Source organism: Homo sapiens, chromosome 11 (genome assembly GCF_000001405.40).
Source record: "Homo sapiens chromosome 11, GRCh38.p14 Primary Assembly".
In the NCBI taxonomy this organism is placed as follows: Eukaryota; Metazoa; Chordata; class Mammalia; order Primates; family Hominidae; genus Homo; species Homo sapiens.
Window position 1 is genome coordinate 21723127 of NC_000011.10, and position 16334 is coordinate 21739460.

A 16334-nucleotide genomic window follows, 5' to 3' on the forward strand; every position below is an offset into this window, starting at 1 on the left:
CAGAAAGTAGATTAGTGGTTTCCAGGAGCTGAGGAGTTAGGAAAATGGGGAGTGACTGCTTAATGGATGTGAGATTTCTTTCTGGGGAAATGAAGAAGTTCTGGAACCAGACAGTGGTGATGGTTACACAATATTTTGAATGTACATAATGCCACTGAATTAAAAACTTTAAATGGTTAAAATAATAAATTTTATATGATATGTATTTTATCACAATAAAAAAATGAGGTAGAAGTGATTTTAAAAAGTGTATTATTAATGGTGTGATATGCAATTGATGAGAATTTAAAACCAGCAAATGATGTGACTTACCATTGTGTGAGTGGCAGGCTGTTGCCTTAGGATCCCTAAAACAAAAGTATGTATGTGCACATATGTAATGTGTAGTCTACCTAACTCCTGAGCACATTATAGTTAAACTCAAATCCTTCAAACACTAAAAAAAAGTTAGCTCTGTCACAATTGTTCAATATTTTAACTAAAAAAATAAAACTATATACACAAGTCAGAGTGGCAGAGTTATTCTCTTACAGTACAAGACGAATTTATTGGAGCCAGTCCAAGTAGTTCAAAACTCAGGATAAGCAATTTGTTGCTCTGTGTAAAAGTTTAACCTCTCTAAATTGACATTAGGCTCATGTTATTTACCTCACAATATTGAAGGAGTCTGTATTTATAAAGTGCCAAGCATAATGCCTGAGGCATAATGACTGCTTAACAAATGTAATGTTTTGCCTCTTCAACAAGCCTGCCACCCTCCTGTGATACATAATCTTTAATTGCACATGACAACATAAAATACAAATATCTCTCTTACATTGAGGAAATTAACACATGACTTAGAGTGGGGATGTCCTGCTGGATTTCCAGAGTAGCAATTTGTCAGGTATATTGCATGTTCACTATTTGTGGCCATTCTACAATAATTATTTATTGTAGTGAGAAAACACTGAAGACCTACTACAAATAAATGAGGAAGGAAAAGTACTTTGATTAAAATGTCTATGGTAAAATAGAGATGCCTAAGAAATCTAATTAAAATCTCAACCAAAATTAAAACTTGGTGCACAAATAGGATCTGGATGCCCCACCTTACAACAAATATTGTTTCATTTGGGAGTTAACTGGTGTGTAATTTAGGTAATAAAGGATACAATGTAGAGTCATTTGGAGACGGTCACTATCCTCTGTCTCGAGTAGAGTACTCGAATCCAATTCCATTTATTAGCTGTGGTTTGTATCCCCAGGTGAGTAAAGGACTTTATATTTTTATTAGAGAGCTTTTAGAAGAAAGCCTTTAGTGCCCAATCTCCCCACACAGTGAGCACACAAGGCATATGTTTCAGATTTCATATAAGCAAACTTCATTTTCTCTGTTGTTCTCTATAGAAATCAAGTTGCACTTTTTCCAAAGGAAAGTGTAGGACACAGTGAAAACTACTGTAAATGGTGGCCATGATAAAACCAGTCCTCCGTTGGATGGGCTCTACATTAAAACAAAGCCTAAATTTAGGAATGCAAATATGTATGCAAAGGATACACCAATGCATGGCTTATAAGAAGGGTTCAGCTCATGGATTCCTACTCTTGAGTTTTTGTTGCAAAGTGTCAGGCTCTTGGGGATGGGGTAAGAGTCACAACATGTTCTTTCTACAAGAGCTTTAAGCTGGATTTCAGACTCTAATCCTTTGTCCAGAAGTAAATACATCTTTTCTTTTCATTAATGTGTAAAGGCAAGTAATATACTCTCACACATGAGACACTGGGCTTTAAATAATAAACTCTAAATTCCCTAAATTTAGAGATCATAAAATACACCATTGTGAGCATCCTACACAAGGTATCATTAAGTGTAGTCAGTGAGAAAGCACTTAATGAGCACTGAGAAAATCACTTCATATAAATTATCTTATTTAATCCTCTTAGCAACTCCTCACTGTAGATGTTATTATCTCCCTTTATGGACGAAAGAACTGAGGTTCAAAGACTTCCCCAAGGCCTCACACTACAGCAGTTTTGGAGCTAGCACTCAAATTCAGAATCATTTAATTCTAAATTACAGCTATAACAGGCAGACAGATATCTTTTGCTTCTTCAAATTTTAGATAACATCATTAATTGGAGCTCTTATTATTTGCTACACAGAAGTTTGAATGAAAAATAAGCTTCACTGAAAAAAAATTATCTTCATCACAGTGTTTTTTCCAGCATTGGAGATGTGTGTGTGTGTGTGTGTGTGTATGTGTGTGTGTCTGTGTGTGTGTGTACTTGTTCCAGCCAGCTTTATTGAAGTATAATTGACAAAAATTATATATATGCAAAGTGATTTTACATAAGTATACATTGTGAAACATTTACCACAATCAAGTTAATGAACACACCCCTCACCTGATATAGTTTCCAGTGTGTGTGTGTGTGTGTGTTTGTGTGTTTGTGTGTGTGTGTGTGTATTTGGTGAGGACACTTAAGATCTATTCTTTTAGCAAATTTCACATATTCTTAACTATAAACTACAGTATTCTTAACCATAGTTGTCATGCTGTACCTTAGATCCCCAGAACTTATACATCCTATATTACAATGGAAAATTTATATTCTTTGACAAACATCTCCCCATTTCCCTCACCCCAGCTCTTGGCAACCACTATTCCACTCTCTGCTTCTATAAGTTCCATTTTTTAAGATTTCACATATAAGTGAGATCCTACAATATTTGTCTTTCTGCAATTGGCTTACTTCACTTAGTGTAATGTCTTCCGGTTTCATCTGTGATGTCCAAAATTACAGGATTTATTTTCTTCTTTATGGCTGAATAATATTCAATATATATGTGTACACACACACACACACACACACACACACACACACCCCTTTTTCTGTATCCATTCATCCATTGACGAACACAGGTTGTTCTCATCTTTTGTCTATTGTGAATAATGCTGCAATGAACATGGGAGAACAGACATCTCTTCAAGATACTGATTTAATTTCTTTTGGATATAAACCTGAAATAGGATTGTCCAATTGTGGACAGTTCTAGTTTTAATTTCTTGTGGAACCTCCATACTATTTTCCATAATGGCTGTACAAATTTGCATTCTCACTATCAGTATGCAAGGTTTCCCTTCTTTTCATATCACCCCTGGCACTTGTTATCGCTTTTTTTTTTGGAAACAGAGTCTTGCTCTGTCTCCCAGGCTAGAGTGATCTTGGCTCACTGCAATCTCCACCTCCTGGGTTCAAGCAATTTTTTTTTTGTATTTTTAATAGAGACTGGAGTTTCACCATATTGGCCAGGCTGGTCTCGAACTCCTGACCTTGTGATCTTCCTGCCTCAGTCTCCCAAAGTGCTGGGATTACAGGCGTGAGCCACCGCACTCGGCCCTTATCCCTTGTCTTTCTGAGAGTAGCCTTGTTAACAGGTGTGAGGTTATATCTCATTGAGGTATTGACCTGCATTTCTCTGATGATTAGTGATGTTAGACACCTTTTCTTACATCTGTTGACCATTTGTATGTCTTCCTTGGAAACATGTGTATTCAGGTTCTTTGACCAATTTATTATTGTGTTGTTAGGTTTTTTGCTGTTGAATTACATGAGTTCTTTGTATATTTTGAATATTAGCCCCTTATCAGATATCTGGTTTGAAAATATTTTCTATCACTCTGTAGGTTGCCTTTGTATTTTATTGATTATTTCCTTTTCTGTGCAAAAACATTTTAAATTGATGTAGTCTCATTCTTTTTTATTTTTTCTTTTCTTGCCTATGCTTCTGGTGTCATATCCAAAAAATTATTGCCAACACTAATGTCAAAGAATCTTACCCCTATGTTTTCTTCTAGGAGGGTTATAATTTCAGATCTTACATTTAAGTCTGTAAGCCATTTCTAGTTATTTTATTTTATTTTTTTTGTACAGAGTGTAAGATAGAGTCTGCTATAATTTGGATGTGTGTTCCCTTCAAATGTCCTATTGAAATTTGATCTCCACTGTTGGAAGTGAGGCCTAATGGAAGGTGTTTGGGTAATGGGGGTGGATTCTCCATGAATAGATTAATGCCCTCCCTGGGAGGAGGGGGACTCAGTTCTTGCTTTATTAGTTCCCATGGAAATTCTCTACAGAGCTGAGTTGTTAAAAAGAGTCTAGCACCTTCCCTCACTCTCTGGCTTCTTTTCTCGCCATGTGATCTCTACACAAGCCAGCTCCTCTTCACCTTCTGCCATGAGTGGAACCACCCAAAGTCCCTTACCAGACGCTAAGCAGATGCTGGCACCATGCCTCTTGTGCAGCCTACAGAACTGTGAGCCAAATAAACCTATTTTCTTTATAAATTTTCCAGCCTCAGGTATTCTTTTATGGCAACACATAATGGACTAAGATAGAATCTGGTTTTATTATTTTGCATGTGAATATTCAGTTTTCCCAAGAGTATGTATTAAAGAGAATATTCTTTCCCAATTGTGTATTCTGGAAAATTTCATCAGTGATTAGTTTACTATATATGTGTGGGTTTATTTCTAGGTTCTCTGGTCCGTTCTGTTGGACTATGTGTCTGTCTGTTTCATGCCACTATTATGCTGTTCTATAGCTTTGTAAATAAAGTTGGAAAATAGCTTTGTTGTTTCTCAGGATGGCCTTTCTATTCAGAGTCTTTTGTGGTTCTATATGAATTTTAGAAATGATTTTTCTTTTTCTGTGTAAAATGTCACTGGGATTTTGATAGGGATTGCATTGAATTTGTAGACAGCTTTGGATAGTATGGACATTTTAACAATATTAATTTTTCAAATTCATGAATACAGAATGTCTTTCCATTTATTTGTATCTTCTTCAGTTTCTTTCATTAATGTATTATGGGTTTTAATATACAGATCTTTCATGTCCTTGGTTAAATTTATTCCTAAGAATTTTTGATGCTATTGTAGATTACATCATTTTTTAATTAAATTTTCAAATAGCGTTTTAGTATATAAAATATAATTGGCTTTTGTATATTGAATTATTTCTGCACTTTACTGATTTTGTCTACTATTTCTAACAGTTTTTAAGCCAATAATAACTTTGATTGCATATAAAAATCTACACTTTTACTTCTCACACCATTTTGTGTTTTTGATGTCACAATTTGATTTTTATAGTGTGTATCCATTAACAAATTATTGTAGATACAGTTATGTTTAGTACTTTTGTCTTCTGATTTTTAAATTAGAGTTTAAAATAATTTATGTACCACTATTACAGTATGAAAGTATTCTGAATTTGACTACATGTTTACCTTTAGCAGTAAGTTTTATATTTTCATGTTGTTACTTAGTGTCCTTTGATTTTAATTTGAATAACTCTCTTTAGTATTTCTTGTAAGGTTGGTCAAGTGATGATGAACTCCCTCAGCTTTTCTTTTTAAATTTAGGAATGTCTTCACCTCTCCATTTCTGAATAACAGCTTTGCTGAGTAGAGTATCTTTGGTTAGAATAGTTTCCTTTTCTTCTAGCACTTTGAATATCTCATTCTACTTCTTTTTGGTCTGCACAGTTTCTATTGACAAATTCACTGATTGCCTTATGCAAGTTTCCTTGTATGTAATAAATCTCTTTTCTCTTGCTGCTTTTAATATTGTTTCTTATACCTTTGAAAATTTGATTATAATATACCTCAGAGTACCTCCTTTGGGTTAATCTTACTTGAGATACTTTGTGCTTTATGAATCTTGATGTCCATATTCCTCCCTAGATTTGTCACATTTTTTGTCTTCATTTCTTTAAGTAAGCTTTATTACTCATACTCTCTGTCGTCTCTTTTTGAAATTCTAATAATTCATACATTTTTTTGCTTAATGGTGTCCCATAGCTCCCTTATGCTTTCTTCTCTCTTTTCATGCTTTTTTTTTAGTTTTGCTCCTCTGATTGGCTAATTTCAAATGACCTGTCTTTGGGTTAACTGATTCGTCTGCATGACTGACTCTTCTGTTGAATCTCTCTGTTACATTATTTAGTTCTATTATTGTATTCTTCAGCTCTAGGATTTCTATTTTAGTTATTTTGTATGGTTCCTATATCTTCACTAAACATGTCATTTCATTCATACATTGTTTCCTGATTTTGTTTAGTTGTCTAACACATTGTTTTCTGATTTTGTTTAGTTTTCTGTGTTCGCTTGCATTTCATTGAGCTACTTTAAAATAATTTTTTTTATTATTTTGCAGGCAATTTGTAGATCTCCATTTCATTGGGTTTAGTTACTGGAGCTTTACCAGTTTCCTCTGGTAGTATCATTTGTTTTGTTCTTCATGATCCATGTATTGATGTCTGTGCATTTTAAAAAACAAATTCCCCTTACAACCTTTACAGACTGGATCTTTATCTGCCAAATCCAGTCTGTAAGAGATTTTTACCTGGCAAAGCCAGTCTGGGGACCTCTTCAGGTCCCCAGGGTAATGGGATTGCCTCTGGATCACAGTCTACTAGGAACGGAGCTAGGTGGCTGCTATTGAGTTTGCAGTGGTGTCAATAGTTGGCAGGCCTGTAACTATGAAATCAAGAAGGTGTTGATCCCATCTGGTACCCGGGCAGATTGGACTGCCTCCAGGACCTTGGTTAGTAGGGCTAATGGTGGGACAAGGATCTGCTTAAGGGCCCACAATTGGATCTGCAGAGGGTGAGCCTATCACCATGTGCATGGATGGGTGAGGATCCCTCTATTTTCCCTGGGTAAGCACCTGCTGGGTCACTGGGTGGGTCCCTGAGCAGGAAGGACTGACTTTAGGCCACAGATGAGAGGGGCTAAAGCTGGGTCACAAGATGCTTTACGGTCCACAGTGGAGATAGAAGTTAGCAGGCCTGTCACTGAAGACAAAGGTGAGCAGATATCTTCTTAGAACACTTGGCAGATGATTCTCGTGGAAAAATCAAGGCCAAATGGTGCGGTGGCAAAGTCCACAGGTAGAGGAGACCATTTCTGGACCTATAGCCAGAACTATGACTGGTGAGCTCACCACCTAGGTGCAGATCTGCTCTCTCAAAACAGCCCTTTTTGATCTTGGGATTTGCTGGGTTTTGCAGTCTCCTACTTGGATCTTAAACCTCCCACAAAGGCACTTTTACTGATGGATGGCTGTCAAATTATTATTGCTACTGGGGGATATGAGTGGAGGATCGCTTATTTTGCCATCTTTTTGACATTACACTCCTTAATAATGCTATTTAAAATTGTTAGTTGTACCCTATCCACTCCACACCTAGCTCTACTTTTTTCTATAATTATCACACTGTTCAATATAATATGTAATTAATTTATTTATTATGATTATTGTTTGCCTTTATGAGGACACTGGCTAGAATATACCACCTTCCAAGGTAAGGAATATTTGCCTCTCTTTTTAAAGTGATGTGTCTCCAGTTCCTAGCACATAACAGGTGCTTATTGATATTTGTTGAAAAAATAGTCAGTGAATAGCATAAGGCAAGATAATGGAAATTCTTAAATTTGAAAAATGGTTTTGGATCATTATAGATTTAGTTCTTTGGAATTAGGCTAGGATTTATCACCGTTTTCTATGTGATCACTGGCTAAGTTCAGCATAATTAAAGTTACTAATGTTTATATATAATGCTTACTATGAACCAGGTACTATTGTAATAACCCTGTGAGATAGGTATCATTATTATCTTTATTTTCCAGGGGGAAGAAATGAAAGCACAATGAGATTAGTTAACGTGCTTAAAGTCATAGCACTAGTAAGTATTGGTCCTATGATTCAATGACCAGGCTCTTGACTCCTGACTTCACAGCATTGACATGAGCATTGAATAGGATGTATAAAGAATCTAGAAGACTTTGTTTTGGATATGAAAAGTATTCCATATTGATTCTTTCCTAAACGTTCTATGCTTCTATGCTGCATCTACTCTAGTCCTATGATTTCTTATTAATTCTATCTATCTTTCATCTATCTATCCATCTGTTTTTGACATTAAGGCTTATGTACTAAGCAATTAACACATAGTGCCAACACTAAAGAGGTTTTTATGTTGATAATCTAATAAATCTAGTAGTAGCACAATTGACTGTTTTTTGCAGTTCTTGGGTCAGCTTCCAAGCCTAGCTGTGGTGGCCATGAGGGGATGAAATGAGATTCAGGAGCTTATTTGAGTGATTATAGGAAATCACCTAACCAGGCTCATAATCTAATGATTCAATCATCTCAACTCTGGGAATTTGAGTTATGTTCCTTAGGCCAGTAACCAGAATAAAAAGTATGAAAATTTCAAACAGTGGAAAGATTTCTGTGAGTAAGGAAATTTCTTTGAACTAGACTGATGAAAACATTAAGAGGTCCATGAAGCTACTCCTTTGAGACAGAGTATAGAGAATAAAATGGCATGTGCAGAGATTAATCTCTGCACTAACCATGTGCAAAGTTTTAAAAATCAATGATTTGTGCAGCATTGGGGTTTAAAGAAGAGATGGTAACATATGGTATGGGAATAGTGATTCTTCTAGATCCTTCTACCATACCTGTTAGCTGTGGTTATGGTAAGCCTCAGAGATTTTTCCCACTGATGCCAGATGAGGCCACATAACTTTCTGTGTGTAATGATAGCCACTGGACATTCTGTGGAAGTTCATGTGTAAGTTGTATCCATTCTTAAATTAGAATAAAGTTGTTGACAGTGCCTACCATATGTTGCATGCTGATAAAAATTATGTAGTTTATGCTGTGATGATATAATCGAGAGCAGTGGTTCCCAACCTTTTTGGCACCAGGGACCAGCTTTGTGGAAGACAATTTTTCCATGGATGGGGGTGTGGGGGATGGTTTTGGGATGAAAGTGTTCTATCTCAGATCATCAGGCACTAGATTCTCCTAAAGAGTTCTAGCACAGGGGTGCTAGAGTCCTGTTATGTTTTTAAATTTTGTGCTCTGTTCCTCATAAGCTCCATAGAATATAAAGGCTCTTTTCTGTGGTGCTTGGTGCCTGGGACTCCTGGATATTCCTCTGTGTTGGAAGCTAAGTTCTTCCCAAAGGGATGCTTTTCTTGATCTGCACTGGGATCAGAATCATGCATAACTAAGGGCCCCTCTTCTATAAGTTTTTCACTTCATTGGGTCTCAAATCTAATAAATTTGGCATAAAACCTACAGTGTATCTACAATTATGGCCTATTCAATGATGATTAATATTCATAACTGACCATGGGCTCTGGGAATAGATAGCCTGAATACTATTACTATCAGTATATTAAAATGAGTATATTATTTCTATTATTTTTATGCCATTAGATTCATCTTTCCATATTTTAGGGGAGAATTAAATCAGTTAATATATATATAAAGTGCTTAGAATAGAGCATGGCACATAGGAACAGCCTGAGTCATATCTAAGTGTTGGCCATTATACTGTGTAAACTTGGACATGTTATCTAATTTCTCAAAGCTTCAGTTTGCTTAGCTGTTAAATGGTAACAATAACATATGCATTTGAATTATTGGTAAGGATTAAATTACATATTTGATGAAAAATGCTTTGTACCACTCCAGTCACAAGGTAATTTATTAATATATTATATGTTTGTTCACTACCATAATGATAGATTTTGTGATGATAATGTGATTGCGATTATATAAGGGAACTGAATAAACAAAACCTGAAACTCTACCTGCTTTTCCATTAAAAATGCAAAAGTTGGTTGGGGATTTGGGAAATCAATGAAACATTATTACGGCTTGTGTCTCTATGGGATGATCTTGGATGTGTATGCAATCAGATTCTCATTTTATAAAGAACAGTATGTGGCTCCAAAATCACCTAAGATTCTTCCATATTTTTTGAAGTTGTTCAAGGATGTTGATAGAAACATGGCAACTCAGTAAAGGAGGATGGGGCCTTTAAGCTAAATCCTCTGTATCTAGAAATGTGAGAAAGTAGAAGAAATCTCTCAGGTACCGAAGAACTCAGCAAGGGAAAAAAGACGTGTTAATATCATAGATGATGCCTGAGATGGTCCTAGAGTATCCCTGTGTCACTGGATGAAGCTCTGACCTAACAACTTTTCACTTTTCTCCTGGATTGTTCAGAATTTTACCTTTCCAAATTTTAATAGCACAATTATATTTTGAAAACTATACTTGATTATGTGCTCTTAATTTTTGCTAGTTTTATAATCTTTCTAGATATTAAATCTCATACATATAACTTCATTTTAAAATTGAGGAACATCACACACTGGGGCCTGTCATGGGGTGGGGGGAGAGAGGAGGGATAGCATTAGGAGATATACCTAATGTAAATGACGAATTAATGGGTGCAGCGCACCAACATGGCACATGTATACATATGTAACAAACCTGTACATTGTGCACATGTACCCTAGAACTTAAAGTAATAAAAACCATTATTTATTCCTATATATGTTTACAATATAGTACTTTAAAAAATAAACAATATTTTCAACCTTGACAAAAAATTTATCCAACGGACACTATCACTGATGCCAATAAACCAGTTCTCTCATCTTTGCAGATAAAGTGTCTAGTTGGGTTAATGTTCTTATTTCCTCATTATTGAAAGTAACTTGTAAGAACCTCATGAAGATCTGTGCAGATAGTACAGATGCATAACAAAGAGATGATGATTTTTGATTTCACTTTTATAAGGGGTTTCTCCTTCCTACTACACACACACACACACACACACACACACACACACACTAGGACTTTTAGAAAATATCTATGAAGCAACAGCCATGCCATGATTGTTGGAATAATAAAGAAAAATAAATCAATCTCCCAAAAAGTAATCATTTTGGAAGAAAAAGAAAAGAAGACATTTTGTTAAATAATAGTACCACCATCTCTTGTAACCTTAATTGAATGATTCAACTAAGCTGGAATCTGTTTTATTTTATTACATGACCTTAGATGATGCATTTGGCCTCTTTGTAACTTTGGCTGTAGAAGAGTGACAATAATCTTGGCTTCCTTATTTGAAGGTATATTACAGATTTAATGAGTTAATTTGTATAATATATTTAAACCAGTTAAAAGACTCTAGATTAATATAAAACTGTTACTACTATATTCTTTCTTTTTTTTCACCGTCTGTGAAGCAGAGATATATACTTATTCTACCTATATAATGATTTGCTTGGGAAAGTTTACTAATACTAGTTTTAAATTTTAGCAGAATGTATAGGTTACTATGCATATAAATAGGTGTTTCTGTGTAATTAAAAATGCCTAAAAATAAAAATTATTTAATCCAATAACAAAAACATTGTTAAATTAAGGAGAGACATCTCTTTTCCTGAAATAGTGGATTAAAAATATGTCGCACTCATACCAAAGACGTGATTACTTCCACTTACCTTCTGGAGATTTTTCCTTTCAGCAGAACCATGTTTTTCTTAACTATGCACTTAGTCTCAGTTGAGTTAGTCACTATCAGCTTCAGCAGTGTATTCTGTGTATTCACTCTCACACTTGTGTTAGACTATTCTTGGGAGATGATGCCTTTGTGCCTTCTGAACTTCTGAGTTTTTCTTACCTGAAACCCATAAAGAGTGTCTTATTTCAGATGGCTGTGTTTTGTTTGACCTTAGACCTTTCTCTAAGATTTTCTTCCAGTGGTCTTATTTGAATCTCATATTTTATCCTAAACACCATATGGCTCCAAATAAACAAAATAAACTGAGCCTCTTCTATGTTCTTTGAAGTTACCCAGGATGCTGATAGAGCAACGGTAGCTTACAAAAGGAAGATGGGTCTTTTAAGCTAAATACTGTGTATCCAGAACTATGGGAAAACAGAAGCAAGGTCTTGACGGTTAAAGAATTTAAAGCCCTGCCTTGCTCTTCTTCATCCACCATTTAAAAGCTTCAGTGATACCTCTAAACCAAAATCCTACAGCTGAGACCTTACAACACGTTAGAAAAAGGATTGTAAAACATGCTGCTATAAAGACACATGCACACGTATGTTTATTGCGGCACTATTCACAATAGCAAAGACTTGGAACCAACCCAAATGTCCAACAATGATAGACTGGATTAAGAAAATATGGCATATAAACACCATGGAATACTATGCAGCCATAAAAAATGATGAGTTCATGTCCTTTGTAGGGACATGAGAAAGCTGGAAACCATCATTCTCAGCAAACTATCGCAAGGACAAAAAACCAAACACCGAATGTTCTCACTTATAGGTGGGAATTGAACAATGAGAACACATGGACACAGGAAGGGGAACATCACACACCAGGGCCTGTTGTGGGGTGGGGGGAGGTGGGAGGGATAGCATTTGGAGATATACCTAATGTTAAATAACGAGTTACTGGGTGCAGCACACCAACATGGCACATATATACATATGTAACAAACCTGCACGTTGTGCACACGTACCCTAAAACTTAAAGTATAATAAAAAAAAAAAAAGAAAAACCTGTCTTCACGGTCTTTCAAATAACTCATATCCTATTACTTAGTACTGTTCTTTGCCCAGCTTCTGAGCTCCCATGTTTTCTCAGATTCCTGGTTTTTGACTATTATATAAGTTAAGATTGTTATTACCTTGAATACTATCATTTGCTAATGAGCCTTTCTAGTTAGTAGCAATATCTTACTATTGCCAGTAACTGCCTCATCCTAGTGCGCACCAAACCAGGCCAAATGCAGTAAGTTCCTTAACCACAACTGAAGAGAGGTCGGTATGATTAAGTGCCAGTGTAAAACATCAGTTTAAGCATCAGTGAAAGCATCAGTAATTTTTGTTTTTCCTATCTAACCTTACCTTTCCAAGTACTAATCATGAACCCTCCAGTGTATTTCTGGCGTCCTCTTCCAATAAGCCACTTCTTAGGCCAAGCATTGCTCTACATGCTTTGCATGTATTTGATCCTCATAAAATTCTGATAGTATAGATATTACATTATCCTCTTTTTATCCATAAGGAAACTAGAGTGCATGTGGTTTAAGAAATAATGCTCAAGATTTCAGAGTTACAATGTGGTCTAGTCAGAGATATGGATCAAGCACCTTGATTCCATGATTGAAAGGCAACTAACTCTTAAAGGAGCAAAAAGAATGGGTTCCACTGTAAATGTAGTAACTCTATGCTTGTGCTCATAGAGTAGATTCTTGACATCCACCATTTAGGTAATTAAGATATCACCTCACTTGAAAGCAAAGAAGCAAGCATCTTTTTAAACCCATTTTGTTAGAGTTCTCTCTGTTTAGTTTATTTTGAAAGGAGACTCTTTAAATACAATTAGGGTCAACTCTCCTGGATTTTGAGCTTGAATAGTACGGGATTTCTAACCATTGCCTCTCTACTCTTTCTTGGTAATATAATTACAAATCTGACATTTTCCCCCTAAAACTCAGTGTTTTTTATCATAATGACTATCTTCTGCACTCTAAGTTAAAAAAAATACATAATGGAGAGTCCTTATCTCAAGGAGAGAGTCTGAACACATTCTTGTTGAAGAATAGTTATAACCCATTTTGAATAGCAGTGTAGATAAGATAAAGGCAAATAATGCATATGTTCCACTACTGGCATTTTTAATATTTAATTGTTGGACTCTGGAAACATACACATCAGGACATAATTATTCTTGTGAGAGTTACTGGGAATTCTGGAATGGCTAGGGCCACAACACTAGAAATAAACAAATTCCTTGAGGAAAAAATTTCTAAAGCCTTTCTCTCCGGTTCACTGCAGGGTATGGTAAGTCAATTCTCTGCCCTTATCTTTTTTGATATATTTTTAACAGAGTTGATTACTCTTTCCTTTTTGATTAAAACTCTTCATTTGAATGTAATGCAAAACACTTCCTTAATTATTCTCCAAAAACAATGATAACCCATCCACACTCTTTGTTTATTCCTCATTATCTCCCTATTCACAAAACACAAAATGATGTATCACTCAGGCTTAGGGCCTCTCCTTTGTTTGCACCCACACCCTTGGAAATCTCAGTTAGTTACGAAAGCTGAGGATCCCCAAATTCTTATCTCTGACATGAGTTTCTTCTCTGAACTCCAGGCTCATATATTCAATCATCTATTCAAAATCACCACTTTGACCACACAGACTTAATATGTCCAAAACCAAACTTCAACTTTCCCATATAGAGTGTGTTTTTCCAACATCTTCTCCATTTCTGTATAGAAGCTCCATTTTTTTTTTTAGTTGCTTAGGTCAAAAATTTTAGATTATTATTTTTTTAAAATCTCAACTTCTATTTCTAATCTCAGCACATCCTGTTGGCTCTATGGTCAAAATATTTCCAAATGTGAATATTCTTTCCATTCTGCTGCTCCCACTCTAATTCAGGCAACCATTTTCTGTTACCTGGATTATAGCAATCACCTTCTAAATAATTGCACTTATTCCATTCTTTGCTTCATTTACTTATTTTTTTTTTGAGACAGGGTCCCACTCTGTCACCCAGGCTGGAGTGCAGTGTGCAGTCATGGTGCACTGCAGTCTTGACCTCCTGAGATCAAATGATCCACCCACCTCAGCCTCCCAAGTAGCTGCAACTATAGGCGTGTACTAGCATGCTCAGCTACATTTTTACATTTTGTGGAGACAGGGTATCACTATGCTGTCCTTGCTGGTTTTGAACTCTGAGCTCAAGCGATTCTCCCACATAAGCCCCCCAAAGTTTTGTGTTTACAGGCATGAGCCACTGCACCCAGCCCATTCTTTGCTTTATCTGGCAGCCAGAGTAACTGTTATGACATTAAATTCCAATCTTCATGCTACACATTTACTTAAAAATCTTCCATGACTTTGCCTGTAAGTTATGAAATCTGAAGCTGAAAGGGTGTTTTCTAAGATCTATGCAATCTATTCCCCACCCTATATTACCTCTCTGATCTCATCTTCTATATTCTAAGTTTTACTCACTCTGTTCCAGTCACACTAGCCCCCTCTGACATTTTCCCAACCTGGTGCCCTTTCTAATTGTTTTTTTCTTTTCCCTAAAATACACTCTCTCAAGATATCCTCCTTTCCTCTTTGCTTAAATACCATCTTCTTAGTGAAGTTTCTCTGACATACTTTCTCTCTGGCACGCCTCCATTTTTATCCACAGTACCAACCATAATCTAACAGATTTATAATCGGAGATTCACCTTATTTTCTTTATTTATTGCCTCCTTACTCTCATGAAAATGTAATCTGATTGAAGGAAGAGATTCAGTCTCTTATTTACTAATAAATTCTCATCACCTAGAACATTGTTCATATAATAGATACTCAATATGCATTTGCTGGATGAATGAATAAATGAATGATGGTGATGGCAGTAGAGAGAACTGCAAGACAATTTGGAAAGATATTATGGCATTGAGATCTTCCTTGAAGCCAATTTGAGAAAAATCCTACCATACAACAGGTTAATAAAAGAATTAACAAACTATAAAGACCTTTATTTTCTTTATATTACTAGGGTCATAAGAGGCTCTAAGGATGGGAGAAGAATATCAGCACTGGTAATGTCCTCATTTGTAATTTTCAATGCTATCACTTACAAGGTCAAATATAGTAGTTGGAGTGATTCCACTGAATGATACAATTAAAAATGCCAACTTGTTCTTCCCTTCCCAGCCAATTTGAACTTTTCAAAATACAAAGTTGATCATATCCCTTTTATGTCCAGCAATTAAAGTTTTTGATGGTATAGTAGTCTGCATGGGCTGCTATAATAAAATACCATAGACCTGATGGCTTAAACAACAGACATTTATTTCTCCCAATTCTTGAGGCTGGAAAGTCCAAGATCAACATGCCAATCAGTTCAGTTCTTGGTGATAATCTTCTTCCTGGTTTGCAGATAGCTGCCTTCTTGCTATATCCAATACAGAAGGAGAGCAATCTCTCTCTCTCTCTTCTTTTTCTTATAAAGCATATAAACTCATCATTAGGGTCTATATTTGTTCACTCTTGCATTGCTACAAAGAAATACCTGAGACTGGGTAATTTAAAAAGAAAAGAGATTTGATTGGCTCATGGTTCCACAGGCTATATAGGAAGCATGGTGCTGGCATCTGTTTTGTTTCTGGGGAGGCCTCAGGACACTCACATTCATGGCAGAAGGTAAAGGGGGAGCAGACACTTCACATGGTTGGAGCAGGAGCAAGAAATACAGTGAAAGGGGAGGTGCTACAGGCTCTTAAACAACCAGATTTCATTATGAGAACAGCATTAAGGGAATGGTAATAAACCACTTATAAGAAACACTTCCACCATTCAATCACCTCCCACCAGGCCCCAGCTCCAACACTGGGGATTATAATTCAACATAAAATTTGGTAGAGACAGAGA